Here is an 18979-nt window from a genome sequence, read left to right on the forward strand (position 1 = left end):
AGTGGGCTCCACCCAGGCCAGGTGTCCTGCGGACATAAAGGAAAAGAGCGTAACTGTGGCTCAAGCTGAGTTGGGGGCAAATATGGGGTTTAACAGAGTGGGGCACTGTCACTCCCCAAGAGGAGGCAGACAGCTCTGATCACTCCAAACACCCAAAGGTGACTTCGAATCCTTCCCCATTCGCTTGACTTCACTGGACAGCTGGGAACCTGCATCTTTGGTGACTGAATATCCCCACTCTGGTTCCCCAAGGACAGACCCTGAATTGATTCCAGGAATCCACGTGTACAGGTAAGCACTACATTTCCTAGGCTGCCTTGCAGTTGAGATGGCCAGTGAGGTGTCAGCAGAAGTCACAGGCGGGGCTTCCAGAAAATACCCTCAAGAAGCGAACTCAGCTGGGGCTGGGAGGTGTGGGAGCTAGCTCCCTCTGGCTTTGTCGCTGGCTCTCTTCCCAGCTGGACTGTGGGATGATGTTAGGGCTCAGTCAGCCCTCTTGTCGTCCTGGGGATGGAGGCTATGCACCAAGGGCAGGGAGCAGAAATACCAAAGGAACCTGGATTCCCGGGGCTCTCTTGGGGCTGCAAGATGGTGGTGGATTGGCAACTGCAGATATTTGTGTTTATGTATTTTCCATGCAGAAACATCTACAATGGCACTGAGTCTGTAGCGAGGGCCATGCACTGTCTGTCTGAAAGTGCATAAGGGCTCCAGGCACAGGCTTTGTGTCCAAGTACCTTGCTGTGTTTAAGGTACATCACAGCACCGGAGAATGTGGGAGAGGTCACATTCATCCCTTCAAAGCGCAGGGAGGTTCCTATTCTGACACCAGCAACACTTACAAGAATGAACCTAAAGCTGGGCAGTGAGGAAGGAAAGGAAAAAGAAAGTTTATGAATACAGGTAGTATTGTTTGAACCGGTAAGTTGCACTATAAATCACAATAAAAGATAGTCTGTATATCACTAAAACAGAAGAGTTGGCCGCCCTGAGGATGAGGCCTTTGGGTCTCCAGGCATTTGCCAGCTCTCCTAGCCTAGGGGCAGGGGCACCTGCACAGCCCTCTGCTTTTCCTAGAATTCTCAGCAGCGAGCATGTGTCAGGGAGAGACATGGTTGTCTTAGCACTGACGCTGAAATCCTGGATGTTCTTGGGAGGGCAGTGATTGTGAAGAACAAGCTACTAGTCTAGTCCCTGGAGGTCACTCCTTAAAGCCTCCCGATGAGGCAAGTTTACAGGATCCATGCTCCCTGAGCCAGCAGTGACACCCACACTTGGCAGTGAGAAGTGGGGCTGTAACTTACAGGGTGAGCCAAAATGGGATTTATCTTAAAGGAAATTTAAGGGATCTTAAAGGAAAAAGAGAGGAGAGTGAATGACCTCATCATTAGCTGGGAGGCTCTGCAGTGCCCTGGTAGACAGTCACTGCCTGGAGGTGACTTTGTAGAAAGCAAACTTTGGCTGTCACAGCGCATAGGGAGGCCTGGGAAAGCCCAGGGAAGCAGGAGTCTGGTCGGTGAGGCCGAGGAGGAGGGCCCTTCTCCTGACCCCACGGGCGTGGCTTGGCCAGGCAGCTCAGGACTTGCTTCTCCCCACGGCTTGGCCCCCTTCTCAGGTCGCTCTCAATCTATGGGGAACCTAGAGGGAAGGAGGCTGCCCATGGCGCACACCGTGGAGGGACCCTGAGGACAGCGGAGAGCAGGTCTAAGGTGAGGCAGGTGCTCTCAGGTTAAAGATAGGGGAAGAATCTGAAGCACTATTGCAGACGGGCCCCCAGGAGGGTTAAAGGTCAAGGTGGAGGCGAAACTAAGATTGGAAGGTGAGTATGCAGCCCAGAGTCATGGAGGTTCCAGAGCGGGTGATGGTTTCTGAGAAGCTCCAGGCTCTTCACGAGTTCTTTGAAAGCCGCTGGCGTTGACTCCATTACTAGCAATGAGTGGGACACATTTCCTAACCCATACACACGTTTGTTCAGCTGGACCCCTCCTGGCAGGAGGGCTCATCTCTGGGCAGGTGCTGGGGCCACAAGACAGATACGAATGGAACTTTGTACTCTTCGGGGACGGTACGGGGGGCGGGCAAGAAACAATAAACAAGCCGGCAAAGAAAGCGCCACAAAATTCCAGGTGGCGGTAAGTACCAAAAACTATGGTACCTAATAGTGATAAGCAAATAAAGTACTCTAGCGGATCAAACAGCAGGGGAATGTTTGCTATTTTAGATAAGTGGTACCGGAAGGTGTCTCATTGCAGGGACAGTGAATGGTGACCTAGAACCTCCGGGGAGGCTGCAGGAGGGAACTGCCTCTCCCAAGTCCCTCGGTCTCCGGTAGGAGATCACTCACCCTCCAGCCAGCGCCGGCCGGGGTAGGAGCCGCAGGTCTGGGACCAGCGCCTCTGCGAGGACAGCTCTCTGAGTTGCGCCAGGTTCCAGCTACAGGGCCACGTCCCGCAGACCAGGAGCGCTGCGGCTCCGCCCTGGGGGACCAGGTACCCGCACAACCCAAGCAGCCTGGGACCAGGCCCGCGGGACTGCAGGCTTGTTTCCGCAGCGCGCCCGCCACACACAGGCCCCGCCCACGCCGAGGCCGCACCCCGCCTCTCAGCCCCGCCCACACCCCGCCTCCGGCTCCAAGCTCCGCCCACGCCACGCCACGCCACCGCAGTCCGCCTCCGGGCTCGTCTAGCCCTTCAGGGCTGGGGAGGACCCTGCTGGGTTTCGAGGAGGTGGAAACTGGACCCACAGGAATGGAGCGCGGAGGCCGGGCGCGGTGGCTCACGCCTGTAATCCCGGAGGCCGCGACGGGCGGATCACCTGAGGTCAGGAGTTCGAGACCAGCCTGGCCAACACAGTGAAACCCTGTCTCTACTAAAAATACCAAAATTAGTCTGGGCGTAGTGGGGAGCGCCTGTAGTCCCAGCTACTCGGGAGGCCGAGGCAGGAGAATTGCTTGAACCCAGGAGGCGGAGGTTGCAGTAAGCCGAGATCGTACCATTACACTTCAGCCTGAACTGCAGTGAGACTCCATCTCAAAAAAAAAAAAAAAAAAAAAAGGAGTGCTGGGACTCTGTGCGGGGAGGAGGGACGCTCCTGCTCTATGCCAACCCCCGCCCCATCCCTGGCAGATATCCAGGTTACAGAATGAGAGTCTGTAGTGCGACAAAAAGAATGAGCCACTGGTACTCCACACCCATCAGCCTGCTGGATCTCCCGGGGAGTTACGCTGGTGAGCGAAACCAATCCCAAAGATCACAGACGGGGGATCAATTTCTCCAAAGGACAGAGGAGAGAAATGCAGGACTCATTAGCTGTGCCCAGGAGTTAGGGAGGCGGCGGGTGTGTGGCTATAAAAACGCAACCCGGGGGGTGCCTGTGAAGGAAATCTGCGTCCCGCAGAACGCAACACGCCGTTGGGATACTGGACCGTCCTTTGTGAGATGCCACCATTGGGGGAAACCGGATATGCATGGCTCCAAGGAAAAAGTTCGATTAAAGGAAAGTGGTTTAAGGACAAGGAAATGGCTAGAAAATGGAAAGTCTTGGAAACAGAGCCAGTTGGGGGTTGGGAGGGCGGTGGGGGGAAAAGCAAGATAGATCAGATTGTTACTGTGTCTGTGTAGAAAGAAGTAGACATAGGAGACTCCATTTTGTGCTGTACTAAGAAAAATTCTTCTGCCTTGAGATTCTGTTAATCTATGACGTTACCCCCAACCCCGTGCTCTCTGAAACATGTGCGTGTCAAACTCAGGGTTAAATGGATTAAGGGCGGTGCAAGATGTGCTTTGTTAAACAAATGCTTGAAGGCAGCATGCTCCTTAAGAGTCATCACCACTCCCTCATCTCAAGTACCCAGGGACGCAAACACTGTGGAAGGCCGCAGGGTCCTCTGCCTAGGAAAGCCAGGTATTGTCCAAGGTTTCTCCCCAGTGTTAAGTCTTACACCTGCCCACTCAAGAGGCAGGAGTTAATCCCAGAGGTCTGTGTCCTAATGCATTATGGCAAATGGATGTCACGCATGTCCCTTCATTTGGAAGATTGTCATATGTTCATGTAACAGTTGATACTTATTCACATTTCATATGGGCAGCTTGCCAGACAGGAGAAAGTACTTCCCATGTTAAAAAACGTTTATTGTCTTGTTTTGCTGTCATGGGAGTTCCAGAAAAAATCAAAACTGACAATGGACCAGGATATTGTAGTAAAGCTTTCCAAAGATTCTTAAATCGGTGGAAAATTTCACATACAACAGGAATTCCCTATAATTCCCAAGGACAGGCCATAGTCCTTGGGTGCATGGCTCCAAAGAAAAAGTTCGATTAAAGGAAAGTGGTTTAAGGACAAGGAAATGGCTAGAAAATGGAAAGTCTTGGAAACAGAGCCAGTTGGGGGTTGGGAGGGCGGTGCTGGTGAACAGTTTAGGCCGATTGTCTTTTTTTCTAGTGTTTGCTGGCTTCTGCCCCCTCATTTGGCAGTCACCTGCCACTGTGACCTCCCCAAGACCCCTCTCCAAACTCTATACCTTGATTTCTGGTGTCCCGGAAATAGAGACCAGAAACACTGATGTCCCACTCCAACGATAGAGCAGAAGGAAGGAAGGTTTCCCCTGTGGTTTAGAACGTTCCTAACGAAAATAACTGCAACTCTTGATTGCACCTCCTGAGGGTCGTTGGGACTTTCCCTCTCAGACATTTATTGGTTCATTCATTCGTTCATTTTGCTGTAACTCACAGTGGCCCCCATCCTAAGGTGCACTGCTGGGATTGGTCTATGTGCTGATGATGTTCTCCTTGTCTTCAGAGGTGAGAATGTGCCCTCCCTCCGAGATGCCCTCTTGCCCCTGAGCTCCCCAGCAGGGAACAGGCTGCCTTGTCTTGTGAGTCCAGATCCTGGGAACAACTTTCATTTAGGAATGGAACAGCAGGTCCTGGGAGCATTGGCGCCTGCGCGCCCATCATGCGCGTGTGTGATGCAACATCACCACCTTGTGGCAGCGAGGAGCTATCACAACGTGGACTGAGCAAGTTGCTCCCTGCTTGGGGTTGGGAGCTGGACTGGCCTAGTTCCCTGGGTCTTTTTTTGTTGTTTTTGTTTTTGTTTTTGTTTTTGAGACAGAGTCTCGCTCTGGCCCAGGCTGGAGTGCAGTGGCGCGATCTCGGCTCACTGCAAGCTCCGCCTCCCGGGTTCACGCCATTCTCCTGCCTCAGCCTCCCGAGTAGCTGGGACTACAGGCGCCCGCCACCACGCCGGGCTAAATTTTTTTTTTTTTTTTTTAGTAGAGACGGAGTTTCACCGTGTTAGCCAGGATGGTCTCGATCTCCTGACCTCGTGATCCGCCTCGTGATCCTCCTGATCCTCGAAGCCGCCCGCCTCGGCCTCCCAAAGTGCTGGGATTACAGGCGGGAGCCACCGCGCCTGGCCGTTCCCTGGGTCTTTTGAGTGGTGTGAGTTGAATGGTGGTAGATTCTAGGACAGTTCAGTAGGAGCCCGTCCTCAAAAGGAAAATAACAGAACTTCCTGCTAATCTGGTATTGGGGCTGAGCAATTACTGCACACTGATGAGATTGACCATAATTGCATCCTGAGTTTGAAGAGGAGGTCACGCTACTAAGACGAGATAAAATCAGCTCCAACGACAAACATCATCTCTGGGGGTTTCCAGATTCTCAATTTTCATTTAATCCCCAGCCTTAGTGGAAAGCAAGAGTCGGAGTCGGCATTCTGGGCAGGGAGGCAGGTGAGGCAGGTACACATCTCCTCTTCTCCCCAACGCCCCATGTTTCTATTTCTGAATAAAATGAACCATCATGGTGCTAAGGTAAAGCTAAACTAGCTGAGCCACCTCCTGAAGAGGACATTGCTTTTTTTTATTTGATGAGATTTCTTTCCCTTCTGTTACCAGCATCTCCATCCCTTTGGGAAACTGACTCTTAATAACAGAGTTTTTTGTACTTTTAAACTTTGTTTTTGTGTAGTCAAATATGTACAACATAAGATATGCTGTTTTATCCATTTTTAAGTGGACAGTTCAGAAGCATTAATTACATCGACTATGTTGTGCAACCTTTCCTGCTATTTATTTCCAAAACATTTTTCAACAGAACAAATAAAAACACGGTACTCATTGTAAAATAACTTCCCATTCCCCCCTCCTTTCATTACCGGTAGCCTCTAATCTACTTTCTGTCTCTATGATTTGTCTGTCCCATGTACTTCGTATAAGTGGAATCCTACAAAATGGGCCTTTACAGTCAGCTTATTTCCCTTGAAAACCTTGTTGGCAAGTTTCATCAATGTTGTAATATGAGTCAGAATTTCACTTCTTTGTGGCCGAATATTAAAAATGCACGGGTCGTTTGAGATTTGTGAATAATGCACCAATGATTCTTGGCATATATGTATCTGTGTGACTCCCTGCGCTTAATACTGTGGGTATCTACCGAGGAATGGAATTGTTATAACAATTCTATCGTCATCCTATGTTTAGCTTTTTGAGGAATAGCCAAAATGTATTTCGCAGTGTCTGTGCAATTTTACATTCCCACCAACAATGTATGAGGGTTCCAATTTCTCCATATTTTCACCAGCATTTATTATGTTGCTTTTTTTCCCCTAAATTATAGCCATCCTAGCAGATGTGATGTGGTATTTCATTGGGTTTTTGATTTGCATTTCCCTAATGACTAATGACTTGAATCGTCTTTTCATGCATTTACTGGCCATTTGTATACCTTCCTTGGAGAAATGTCTATCCAAGTCCTTTGCTTATACTTTAATTGGATTGTTTGCCTATTCATTGTTGAGTTGTAGAAGTTCTTTATATTCTGAATTTATCAGCTATATGATTTGCAAAAATGTTCCTTCACTCTGTAGGTTGTCTTTCTTGATAATATCCTTTGATACACAAAATTTCAGATTTTAATGAAGATTACTCCCAGTGGATTTTGTTTCTTTTTGTTTTTTCATTGTTGTTTTGCAAGAGATTTTGCTATCATATCTAAGAGCCTATTACCAAACCCAAAATTATGAAGATTTGCTTCTATGTTTTCTCCTAAGAATTTTATGATTTTAGTTTTTATATTTAGTTCATTGCTTGTGAGGGTTTTTTTAATACGGTGTGAAGCAGGGTCTAACTTTACTCTTGCATGTGGAAATACAGTCCTTCCATATCATCTGTTGAAGACTATTCTTCCCTGAATTGAATACTGCTTGGCACCCTTGGCCATAGACATATGAGTTTATTGAGGATCCCTTGTACATGTCTTGCTGCTTTTATGATTTTCTCTTTGTCTTATACAGACATCCCTCATTTCATTGCATTTTGCTTTAGCGCAATTCAAAGATATTGTGTTTTTCACATATTGAAGGTCTGTGGCAACTGTGTCAAGCAGGATTTTGGGACCATTTTTCCAACAGCATGTGCTCATTTCTTGTCTCTGTGTTACGTTTTGGTAATTCTCACAATATTTCAGACATTGTCATTATTATTACATCTGTTACAGTGATCCGGGATGTTACTACTATAATTGTTTTGGGGTGCCACAAACTAAACCCATATACGTTGACAAACTTAATGGATAAATGTTGTGTGTGTTCTGACTGCTCCAGTGAGCAGTCATTTCCCATCTCTCTCCCTCTCCCAAATTCTTTGAGACAACACAACAATATTTAAATTAGGGTAGTGAAGAACCAACCCTATAATGACCTTTAAATCTTCAAATAAAAGGAAGAGTTGCATGCCTGTCACTTTAAATCAAAAGTGAAAGACGATTAAAGTTAGGAAGACATGTCAAAAGCCAAGATAAGCCATAAGCAAGACCTCTTGCACCAAACAAGCTGCCAAGTTGTGAATGAAAGAAAAAGTTATTGAAGGAAATTAAAAGTGCTGCTTTAGTGAACACATGAATGATAAGTAAAACAGCCTTATTGCTGACATGGGGAAAATTTAAGTGGTCTGTATAGATCAAACCAGCCACAGAACTCCCTTCAGCCAAAGCCGAATCCAGAGCAAGGCCCCAACTCTCTTCAATCCTATGCAGGATGAGAGAAGTGAGGAAATTGCAGAAGAAAAGTTGGAAGCTAGCAGAGGTTGGTTCTTGGTTCATGAGGTTTAAGGGAAGAAGGCATCTCTGTAACATAAAAGTGCAATGTGAAGCAGGAAGTGCTGATGGAGAAGCTGCACCAAGTTATCCAGAAGATCTAGCTAAGATCATTGATGAAGGTGGCTACACTAAACAGATTTTCAATGTAGATAAAACAGCCTTCTATTGGAAGAAGATGCCACCTAGGACTTCCATAGCTAGAGAGGAAAAGTCAATGCCTGGCTTCAAAGCTTCAAAGGATAGGCTGACTCTGTTGTTAGGGGCTAATGCAGTTGGTGACTTTAAGTTGAGACCAATGCTCATTTACCATACTGAAAATCTTAGGGCTTTAAGAATTATGCTAAACCTACTCTGCCTGTGCTCTCAGTGGAACCACCAAGCCTGGGTGACAGCATGTCTCTTTACAGCATAGGTTACTGAGTATTTTAAGTCCACTGTTGAGACTCACTGTTCAGAAAAAAAGATTCCTTTCAAAATATTACTGCTCATTGACAATGCACCTGATTACCCAAGAGCTCTGACGGAGACGTACAAGGAGATGAATGCTGTTTTCATGCCTGCTAACACAACGTCCATTCTACAGCCCATGGATCAAGGAGTAAATTCAACTTTCAAGTCTTATTATTTAAAAAATACACTTCCGGCCGGGCGTGGTGGCTCACGCCTGTAATTCCAGCACTTTGGGAGGCCAAGGCGGGTGGATTAACCAAGGTAGGGAGTTCGAGACCAGCCTGGCCAACATGGGGAAACCCCGTCTCTACTAAAAATACAAATATCAGCTGGGCGTGGTTGCGGGCGCCTGTCATCCCAGCTACTTGGGAGGCTGAGTAACGAGAATCGCTTGAACCCGGGAGGCGGACGTTGCAGTGAGCCGAGATCGCACCACTGCACTCCTGCCTGGGTGACAAGAGTGTGACTCCATCTCAAAATAATAATAATAATAATAATAATAATAATAATAATAATAATGATAATGATAATAATAAACACAAAATAATTTTTAAAAGGCTATTAGCTGCCAGATATAGTGATTCCTCTGGTGGATCTGGGCAAAATAAATTGATAAATTGCTAGAAAGGTTCTCACCACTCTTGATGCCATTAAGAACATTTGTGATGCGTGGAAGGAGGTCAAAATGTCAACATTAACAGGAGTTTGGAAGAAATTAATTCCAACGCTCATGGAAGACTTTAGGGAAGGAAGTAGCTGCAGATATGGTGGAAATAGAACAGAACTAGAATTAGAAATGGAACCTGAAGATGTCACAGAATTGCTGCAACCTCATGATAAAACTTTCACAGATGAGGAGTCACTTCTTATGGATGAGCAAAGGAAGTGGTTTCTGGAGATGGAATCTGCCTCTGGGGAAGATGCTGTAACCACTGTTGAAATGACAACAGGCCGGGTGTGGTGGCTCACACCTGTAATCCCAGCACTTTGGGAGGCCGAGGCCGGTGGATAACCTGAGGTCAGGAGTTCGAGACCAGCCTGGCCAACATGGTGAAACCCTGTCTCTACTAAAAATACAAAAATTAGCCAGGTGTGGTAGCACATGCCTGTAATCCCAGCTACTCGGGAAGCTGAGGCAGGAGAATTGCTTGAGCCTGGGAGACGGAGGTTGCGGTGAACTGAGATTGTGCCACTGCACTCCAGCCTGGCTGACAGAACGAGACTCTGTCTCAAAACAAACAAACAAAAACCAAAAGATTTAGGATATAACAAAGTAAGTTGATAAAGCAGTGGCAGGGTTTGAGAAGATTGACACCAATTTGAAATAAGTTCTACTGTGCATAAAATGCTATCAAATGGCGTTACATGCTACAGAGAAATCTTTCATAAAAGGAAGAATCAATTGATGAAGCCAACTGATTTTAAAAAATTGCCGGCCAGGCACGGTGGCTCACGCCTGTAATCCCAGCACTTTGGGAGGCCGAGGTGGGTGGATCACGAGGTCAGGAGATCGAGACCATCCTGGCTAACACGGTGAAACCCCATCTCTACTAAAAATACAAAAAATTAGCTGGGCGCAGTGGTGGGCGCCTGTAGTCCCAGCTACTGGGGAGGCTGAGGCAGGAGAATGGCGTGAATCCGGGAGGCGGAGCTTGCAGTGAGCTGAGATAGCGCCACTGCACTCAGGCCTGGGCGACAGAGCGAGACTCTGTCTCAAAAAAAAAAAAAAGAAATTGCCACAGCCACTCCAGCCTTCAGCAACCACCACCTTGATCAGTCAGGTTCATTAACATTGAGGCGGGCCACTCCACCAGCAAAAAGATTATGACTCACTGAAGGCTCAGATGACTATCATCATTTTTTTTAGTGATAACATGTGTTATGATTAAGGTATCTACATTTTTGAGACATAACGTGCACTTAATACACTGCAGTATAGTATATAACTATTATATGCATAGGGCTGCTAAAGCGTTGCGTGATTTGCATTATTGTGGTATTCGCTTTATTGTGGTGGTTTGGAACCTACCCCACAATATCTCTGAGGTATGCCTGTATATTGCTGGCAGGAATGTAAAATTGCACAGTAGCTTTGCAAAAACAAGTTTGGCAGTTCTTCAAAAAGTTAAATATAGAGTTATACCATATGACTCACCAATTCTACCCACTGGTATATATCCATGATAAGCTCAAGAAAACATACCTCTATACATATATTTATACATGAATGTTGATAGCAGCATTATTCATAAATATATTTATACATGAATGTTGATAGCAGCATTATTCATAATAGCCAAAGATGGAAAAAACCCAAATGTCTGTCAATTGAAAGGGTAAACAAAATAGATATATGTATACATATTATTATATTATTCAGCCATAAAAAGAAATGAAGCCTGACAAATGCTACCTTGAACCATCATGAATGAACCTTTAAAACATTATGCTAAGTAAAAGAAGCAGCCACGAAAGACCACATATTGTATGGTTCATTTTGCATGAAATCCCCGAAATAGGAAAATCCAGAGACAGAAAATAAATCTGTGGTTGCCAGGGATTGTGGGAAGGAGGAAATGGAGAATAATTGCTAATGGGTATCACAGTTCCTTTTAGGGTGATGAAAATCTTCTGGAGTTAGATAGTGGTGATAGTTGCACAGCTTCATCAATATACTAAGAACTACTGAATTGCATGCTTTAAAAGGATGAACATTATGGTATGTGAATTGTATTTTACTAAAGGTGTTATTTTATTTATATATTATTTATTTATTTATTTATTTTTATTTTTATTTTTATTTTTTGAGACGGAGTCTCGCCTGTCGCTCAGGATGGAGTGCAGTGGTGCAATCTCGGCTCATGGCAACTTTCGCCTCCAGGTTCAAGCGATTCTCCTGCCTCAGCCTCCTGAGTAGCCGGGTCTACAGGCGTGCACCACCACGCCGGGCTAATTTTTGTATTTTTAGTAGAGACGAGGTTTCACCATGTTGGCCAGGCTAGTCTGGAGCTCCTGACCTCGTGATCTGCCTGCCTCGGCCTCCCAAAATGCTGGGATTACAGGCGTGAGCCACCGTACCCAACCTTAATAAGAACAAGCTAGGCACCTAGGGTGTCAAATTGAAGGAGGCTCTGATTCTCAGGGCCGCGCAAATGCAGGGTTGGCACCTATGCGTGTGGCCCTCCTGAAATTTTGTGCCTTAGGCACCTGGCTTGCTTCTCCCTAATTCAGGCCCTCAGGAGAAAGCTCTAATTCTGGTCAATTTGAAACAGGAGGGCACGGCTTCTGGGCGACGCTCCGTGCTCCAGAGAGAGCCATTTGTCTGTTCCCTTCCTCTGGACGTCACCGTGCCAACATGAAATGCTTCCAATTGAGTCCAGCCTGAGATGGAAGGGGGTGGGGGGATATCTGATGACATCACGAACTGCTGCATCAACTCCCCCGAGTCCCTGCCTCTGGATCCCCTGATAGAGGACACAAGGAGTGTCCTGAGCCCGTGTGACTCAGTGTCTCTTCCCATCACTTTGCGGGAAAATGGGGCTGCTTACACCACACCGCAGCCCAAACACCTGTGGCTAGAGAAGGGCTTGGGTACTAGGAGTGAGGACGCCTGGTTCTGGGCCCAGGACTAGTACTAGTTAGTGGTGGGACCTGGAACAAATGCTTTGGTTCTAAGTGAATCCCCCATATTCATGACAAGAGGCGTGGAACACAGACCCATGGGGCCTTCCCACTGGAACAGGGAGCTTGGCTGTCACCCGACCTTCGCTTCCTTAAGTAGAAAAGCCCAGGGTTCCAGGCTCCGTCTCCTTTCCCGCAGACGCCTTGTTTCTTCGCGCGGAGGCCCTGGACGCCGCAGGCTCCCAACCTACTTCTCTGGGCTGTCAGGTTCTGAACCCGGTCCTGAAGAGGCCCTGGCGCCGGGGGTGGGTGAGGCCGAGCGCGCGCCTTGGGAACCTGGCCGGCCTCAGGCTGGCGGGAGCATTGGCGGACATCGCCCTGGGCGGGGCGGACTGGGGGTAGACGGATCTGCCTCTGCGCCTAGCCCTGCCCTCCGCCGCCGCGCGAACGCGCGCGCCTCCCCGGCTAGTCCCGGCAGGCGGAGCCCCAGTTAGACTGCTCGTCAAGTGTGGGAAAAGCTCCGTGGCGTCACAAGCTACTATATAAAAGGCGGTGCCCGCCGGGGCCGAGTGGGAGTCCGCGGCGAGCGCAGCAGCAGGGCCCGGTCCTGCGCCTCGGGAGTCGGCGTCCAGGCTCGGAGCGCGACACGGAGACTAGGTGGCAGGTGAGGACGTCCCCGCGCACGGCCGGGGTGGAGCACGGGAGTGGCGAGCTTCAGGTCCACCGGCTGCCACCGAAAGATGGGACCTGAAGACAGGAGAGGTCGCTCAGCCAAGAGCCCCGGGGAGGCGGTGGTGTCTCGGCGGGGTCAGCAACGGTCTGTGGGGGGTCCCCTGCAGCGCGCAGCCGGTTTCCGCCTCCGCAGCTCCCAGCCAGCGCGGACGCCGCCCTCCCCGGCGCCTCCTCGCTGCCCTTCCCTGGCCGAAGCCCTCCCCTGCAGCCTCCTCCCCACCTGCCGGCCCTGTGTTCTCACTGCTCCTCTCTGCTCTGGGATCCGCAGGATGACGTCTGTCCTGGTTCTTCTTCTGTCTTTCAAAGTCACTAGTCTCCAGTTCTAAATCCGAGCACTCTTACCCATTCTAATTCTTTCAGTAACTCAGCGAAACGGATGGGGCCCTTCCTTCCCCGGAGCACTCCTCCAGGGACTGAGAATCTGCAGAGCCAGGCTCAGCGCTCGCCTGCAGAGCCTGCGGTCTGTGGGACCCGCCAGCAAGATGAGGAATCACTTTCGGGAGGAAGGGTCGTGCTGGGGAGGGTCGCGCCGGCGGGGTCAAGAGAACCTCCTCTAGGGTGGGAATCAGAGCCTCCGGGCCGCGGTGTTTGAGGGTGAGTGGAATTAATCCCGTGATGGACGTGGGGCCTTCTAAGGGGGACCAGGAGTTTGCGAAGAGGTGACTTTGGGAGGGGTTCAGGATGGCCAGAGGTGGAGGCTGTGACCTCAGTGAGGCTGGATCAAGGGAGGGGCAGGTGGAGAAGAAACCGTTTTAACGAGGTGGCTTTAAGCGGATCCTAAGGGCCCCAGGAGATTTAGGAGGAAGGACAAGAGGATTAAGACACCGCTTTCTGGTCGGGTGCGGTGGCTCACGCCTGTAATCCCAGCACTCTGGGAGGCCGAGGCGGGCGGATCACGAGGTCAGGAGATGGAGACCATCCTGGCTAACACTGTGAAACCCCGTCTCTACTAAAAAAAAGAAAAAAAAGAATACAAAAAAATAGCCGGGCGTGGTGGCGGGCGCCTGTAGTCCCAGCTACTCGGGAGGCTGAGGCAGGAGAATGGCGTGAACCCGGGAGGCGGAGCTTGCAGTGAGCTGAGATCGCGCCACTGCACTCCAGCACTCCAGCCTGGGCGACAGAGCCAGACTCCGTCTCAAAAAAAAAAAAAAAAAAAAAAAAAAAGACACGGCTTTCTGAGGTGCCGTGCGGCTGTGGCGGGGGTGGCTGGGGGTGCGGGTTGTGTTCATTGTCCAAGGCTCTCCAGTGCTTTGCGTGGCGTTTTGGGGAGCACAGATGAGGTGTCCCGACAGTGGGGAGTGGCTCTAGGGAGACCAGAGGCTCGGGAGGGGGCCTGGGCATTAGACCAGGCACAGGATCCAAAGTGGGAAGAAATGTGGGCGTAGAGGGCAGGCCTTGGAGATGGGTGTGGGGGAGGAGGGGGAGATGGAAAGGAGTCAGGGAGGTCTCCCAGGCTCACCTGGAGGAGTCAGGGTCTCATTTCCAAGTGCACTGGGAACTGCAGCCTGGGGGTGGGGGTTCATTTGGTTTCAGGCCTGTGGCCAAGAGACCTACCCCCTCATATTCACACTTTGGCCTCCACGGGCTTCAGAGATAGTACCAGCTCTTTGTTCTCGCTGGTTTTCTTTCCTCACCTTGGGCTGTTTCTTGCCTTTTCCATTCTGGTGTTCTGCAAGGACCAGTTCCTTCATCTCATGCACAGTCTACACTCATGGCTTTTGCTGGGAGTAATGAGTAAAGCTCCCAAATAGATGTTTCTGAGTTAAAACACTGAACACAAAATGAAGCAAAAACAACGCATTTCCAACCTCCCAAGGTCACATGATGTCTAGAGGACAGTGATGGGCAATAACTTTTTGTCTTCCCCATTAGAATGCAAGCTCCACGAATGGAACGTGGAGTTTTTTATTTTTTATTGTTTTTTGAGACGGAGTCTGGCTCTGTCACCCAGGCTGGAGCAATCTTGGCTCACTGCAACCTCCGCCTTCTGGGTTCAAGCAATTCTCCCGCCTCAGCCTCCTGAGTAGCTGGGTCTACAGGCATGCACCACCACGCCCAGCTAATTTTTGTATTTTTAGTAGAGACGAGGTTTCATCATGTTTGCCAGGCTGGTCCGGAACCCCTGAGCTCAGGCAATCCGCCCGACTTGGCCTCCCAAAGTGCTAGGATTACAGGTGTGAGCCACTACACACGGCCAGAACATAGAGATTTTTTGTGTTTAATTCACAACCGAGTCTTCAGTGCCTAGAACAGGTGCTCAGTAAATATTTACTGAAGGAATGAATTCCTTTTTGTATTTCTTGTATCTATCACCAGATGCTCTTGTATCTAGTACCTGCTTGGCATACAGTAGATAGAAAGCTTTGCTGAGTGAATAGCTCTGCCTTTCGTCTTTTTTGATATGTGTACATCTTTTAAAAAATAATGAATAGACTTTGTTTTAGAGCTGTTTTGGTTTACAGCAAAACTAAGCAGAAAGAAAATATCCCCTTCCACAAACATCCTGGACTGTACAGCCTCCCCTACCATCAACATCCTGCATTACTGTGGAATATTTGTCACACCTGATAAACCAACATAGATTCATGGTTACAAAAATGAACCAATATGGATAAAACATATACATTATCAGCCAAAGTCCGGAGTTTGTTAGGTTTTGCTCTTTGTGTATATTCAAGATACATTTGACAAATGTATAGAGATGTACCCAACCCTGTAACGTCAGACTCCACTGCCCTAAAAATCCCTTGTGCCTCACCTATCCATCCCTCCTTCCCTGCAAATCCCTGGCAGCCGCTGATCTTTTTTACTATCTCCGTAGTTTTTCCTTTTCCAGAATGTCACATAGTTGGAATCATGCATTATGTAGTCTTCTCAGATTGGCTTCTTTCACTTAGATTTATACATTTAGGATTGCTCCAGGATTTTTTTTTTTTTTTTTTTTTTTGTGGCTTCAGAGCTCATTTCTTTTTAGCACTTAATATTCCATTGTATAGATGTACCACAGCTTATCTGTCCACCCATTAAGTGATATCTTGGATGCCCTCAAGTTTTGGCAATTATGAATAAAGCTGCTATAGACATTCTTGTACAGGTGTTTGTATGGGCATAAGCTTTCAACTCGTTTGGGTAAATACCAAGGTGTGGAGTTGCTTCATCTTATGGTAAGAAGAGCTTGGTTAAGAAATTGCCAAAATGTCTTCCAGACTCTAACATTAGGCATTCCCACTAGGAATGTATGGGAGTTCCTTGTGCTCCAGATCCTCATCAACATTTGTTGTTGTCAGTGTTCTGAATTTTAGCCATTCTAATAAATGTGTAATAGTATTTGTTTTTTTAAATTGCAATTCTTTAATGACATGATGTTGAGCATCTTTTCATATGCATATACATATGGTGAGGTGTATGTTCAGAGCTTTTGCCCGCCTTTAATCAAGTTGTACATTTTCATATTGTTGCATTTTAAGAGGGTTTTTTTTGGTATATTTTGGGTCACAGTGCTTTATCAGATATGTCTTTTGCAAATATTTTCTCCCAGTCTGTGGCTCGTGTTGTGAACGTGGCTAGTTCTCTTGACATACATATCTTTTCACAGTATGTAATCCTGTTGTGCTTTTTTTTTTTTTCCTTTTGAGACGGAATCTTGCTCTTGTCACCCAGGCTGGAGTGCAGTGGCGCGATCTCGGCTCACTACAATCTCCACCTCCCAGGTTCAAGGGATTCTCCTGCCTCAGCCTCCCGAGTAGCTGGGATTGCTGGTGCCCGCCACCACGCCCAGTTGATTTTTGTATTTTTTAGTAGAGATGGGGTTTCACCATGTTGGCCAGGCTGGTCTCGAACTGCTGACCTCAAGTGATCCGCCCGCCTTGGCTTCCCAAAGTGCTGGGATTACAGGCGTGAACAACCGCGCCCGGCCTGATGTGCATATAATTTTATTATTTGATTTTTAATATACATGAATAGCATGCAGTTCCAACTTTGCTCGAGACTTCACAATTACCATTTTAAAGGGCTGCAAAATAATCACATTTCCTCCTCAACAGCCCCACTTTACAGATGAAGGTAGAGGAATGCTAACTTGCCTATGCTAACCCGCAGAGCTCTGAATCCTCCGGATAGCGCCCCCGCTGTAATCCACCCAGTGCTTCCCTCCAGACCCTTCTCCCTCTCGTGCGCGCGGAGGTTTCGGTTTCCTCTTTTACGTAGGCCGCCCCACTCGCTTGAAAACAAAGTCCGCGATCCTCTAGCCCGCAAGAGAGCTCCGGGACTCAGACCCCGGGCGCGAGGTCCCACGAGCGGCGGGGCGGCGCTCTCGCGGTCCTCCTCCCCGGCAAGGGCCGGGGCAGGGGGAGGAGGCAGCGCGAACAGTCCACGCCCTCCAGCCGGGCGCGCTCGACGCGGACGGCGGGCCAGCTGCCGGAGCGCGGCGACTCCAGGGGACCCACAGCTGGGGCGCCAGAGCGCGGCCATCCGGGCGGGGCCGACGGAGCGCGGCAGGACTTGGCTGGACGGCGCGGCCACGGAGAAGGGCGCGGTGAGCGGACTGGCACCGCGCGGGGAACATTCCGGAGGCCGCCGGGCTCAGTCCCGGTGACCCCCCTGGTCGGGGTTCGCGCGCCCTCCCCCAGCACGCCCGGGCAAGGCTGCCGCGGCGTCGGAGTAATCCCCAACCCTCCGCCGCCGCTTCTTCCCTCACCCGGGCCTCCAGACGTTTGCCGCGGAAACGAAAGTAACGCTCGGGTGCTTGCGTGGAGGCCGGGGCGGCCGCGGGCTTCCCGGAAGGAGAGGGACTCTGCCCGGGGTGCGCGCGGCGGGCGGGCCCCGCCGGTACCGGAAGTCGGGCGGTGGGCGGGGCCGCGGGCGCTCCCGGAAGTCAGGGGTGCTCCGCTAGGTGTCTCTGCTTATCCGGAGTCCGCTGGCCGCCTCTGTGCCAGAGGTCGGGGCGCTGGACTGGTAGCGGGCGGAGACCTGCCTTTGGGCCGCGGTTACCGCGTGAGGGTGGAATAGGCAGTCCCACACGCCATTAATGTTGTTTTGGTGGAGAAGGTGGGCTCCTAGTGCCCTATCATTAAGAAAAAACAGTTTGGGCTCTTCCCTTACCAGCCCTTTGAAAGGGCCTTTTACTGTTGCGCTTGAGGCCGCAGCAGGTTCCAAAAACAAAAGCATTTCTGCGTGATCTTAGACGACTGAGGGGACGAATGTGGTAACCCTAGCAGGCTTCTGTCACTGGCAGGTGCTTTTGTGAAGTGCTGCGGACCCTCTTGAGGGTTGGGAAGAGGATAGGCTGCATCCTCCTTCCCTAAGCATTTGACAAAGCCTCACAGGGATGCGGGGGTTGCGGGGGCAGGGGGAGGTCTGGGGTTGTTAGTTCTTTCTCTCTTGCTGACCATTTGGCTCTCCCTTAATCAGAGCTCTTTTTTATTTTGGGCAAAGCAGGAGGCTGTTCCAATGATTAATTCTTCCCTGACTTACACTTGAAGAAGCCAAGGCAGGAAGTGAACTTTGAAATGTGCAATGTCTTAGTACTCATCTGCATTCTGTGACTGCTAGGAAGATGGACTGAGTCAAGAGGAAATTGTCTTGTTAGAAATGTGGAATACTGCGTCGGGCACGGTGGCTCACTCCTGTAATCCGAGCACTTCGGAGGCCGAGGTGGGAGGATCACCTGAGGTCAGGAGTTCGAGACCAGCCTGGCCAACATGGCAAAACCCTGTCTCTACTAAAAATACAAAAATTAGCCAGGTGTGGTGGCGGGTCCCTGTAATCCCAGCTACGCGGGAGGCTGAGGCAGGAGAATGGCTTGAACCCAGGAGGCGGTAGTTGCAGTGAGCCGAGATTGCCACTTACACTCTATCCTGGGCGACAGAGGGAGACTCTGTATCAAAAAAAAAAATAAATAAAGAAATGGGGAATACTGCAGCTCTTCTATTCACAAAAAGTGAAGACTAGGCTTGTTTAAAATGAAATTTGGAGTGTATCATTATTACTGATAAAATAGCAAAAATGATAACTTTTAATACTCATTTTCCTCTGTCTGAACTATACTGAGCCTCAGAGATATGTTGTACTTTCTGGAA

At 49.3% G+C, this 18979-nt stretch overlaps 1 protein-coding gene and 1 long non-coding RNA gene across 14 annotated transcripts in view, besides 6 other annotated features; both read left to right on the forward strand.

Moving 5' to 3' along the window:
* Positions 2468-2697: a silencer, noted in NCBI's record as "silent region_16840". NCBI's record gives its function as "represses an Ori minimal core promoter by ATAC-STARR-seq in GM12878 lymphoblastoid cells {active_cell/tissue: GM12878}" and the evidence as "EXISTENCE:reporter gene assay evidence [ECO:0000049][PMID:35858748]".
* Positions 3310-4102: an enhancer, noted in NCBI's record as "NANOG-H3K27ac hESC enhancer chr6:3054769-3055561 (GRCh37/hg19 assembly coordinates)". NCBI's record gives its function as "activates a minimal SCP1, AML or CMV promoter by ChIP-STARR-seq in naive H9 embryonic stem cells {active_cell/tissue: H9 hESC(naive)}" and the evidence as "EXISTENCE:reporter gene assay evidence [ECO:0000049][PMID:30033119]".
* Positions 3863-6132, forward strand: LOC124901242 (uncharacterized). Its single transcript, XR_007059409.1, has 2 exons — positions 3863-4799; positions 5274-6132. It is a non-coding gene; the product is annotated as an uncharacterized LOC124901242 (long non-coding RNA).
* Positions 12415-12464: a silencer, noted in NCBI's record as "silent region_16841". NCBI's record gives its function as "represses an Ori minimal core promoter by ATAC-STARR-seq in GM12878 lymphoblastoid cells {active_cell/tissue: GM12878}" and the evidence as "EXISTENCE:reporter gene assay evidence [ECO:0000049][PMID:35858748]".
* Positions 12495-12784: a silencer, noted in NCBI's record as "silent region_16842". NCBI's record gives its function as "represses an Ori minimal core promoter by ATAC-STARR-seq in GM12878 lymphoblastoid cells {active_cell/tissue: GM12878}" and the evidence as "EXISTENCE:reporter gene assay evidence [ECO:0000049][PMID:35858748]".
* Positions 12742-18979, forward strand: part of RIPK1 (receptor interacting serine/threonine kinase 1) — a 51221-nt gene continuing 44983 nt past the window's right edge. For 5 of the 13 annotated variants that reach the window (NM_001317061.3, NM_001354932.2, NM_003804.6 and 2 more), the window contains exon 1: positions 12742-12834. Coding sequence is in view for 2 of the 13 variants with exons in the window: in XM_047419446.1 (XP_047275402.1) it covers positions 18492-18554 (63 nt within the window). In the remaining 11 variants the exon portion in view is untranslated. Of the gene's footprint in view, positions 13497-17152; positions 17632-17831; positions 18555-18979 lie in introns of those variants that run through there. The other 8 variants (NM_001354933.2, NM_001354930.2, XM_006715237.4 and 5 more) reach the window with 6 other exon arrangements.
* Positions 12975-13084: a silencer, noted in NCBI's record as "silent region_16843". NCBI's record gives its function as "represses an Ori minimal core promoter by ATAC-STARR-seq in GM12878 lymphoblastoid cells {active_cell/tissue: GM12878}" and the evidence as "EXISTENCE:reporter gene assay evidence [ECO:0000049][PMID:35858748]".
* Positions 17138-17927: a silencer, noted in NCBI's record as "silent region_16844". NCBI's record gives its function as "represses an Ori minimal core promoter by ATAC-STARR-seq in GM12878 lymphoblastoid cells {active_cell/tissue: GM12878}" and the evidence as "EXISTENCE:reporter gene assay evidence [ECO:0000049][PMID:35858748]".

Source organism: Homo sapiens, chromosome 6 (genome assembly GCF_000001405.40).
Source record: "Homo sapiens chromosome 6, GRCh38.p14 Primary Assembly".
Lineage (NCBI taxonomy): Eukaryota > Metazoa > Chordata > Mammalia > Primates > Hominidae > Homo > Homo sapiens.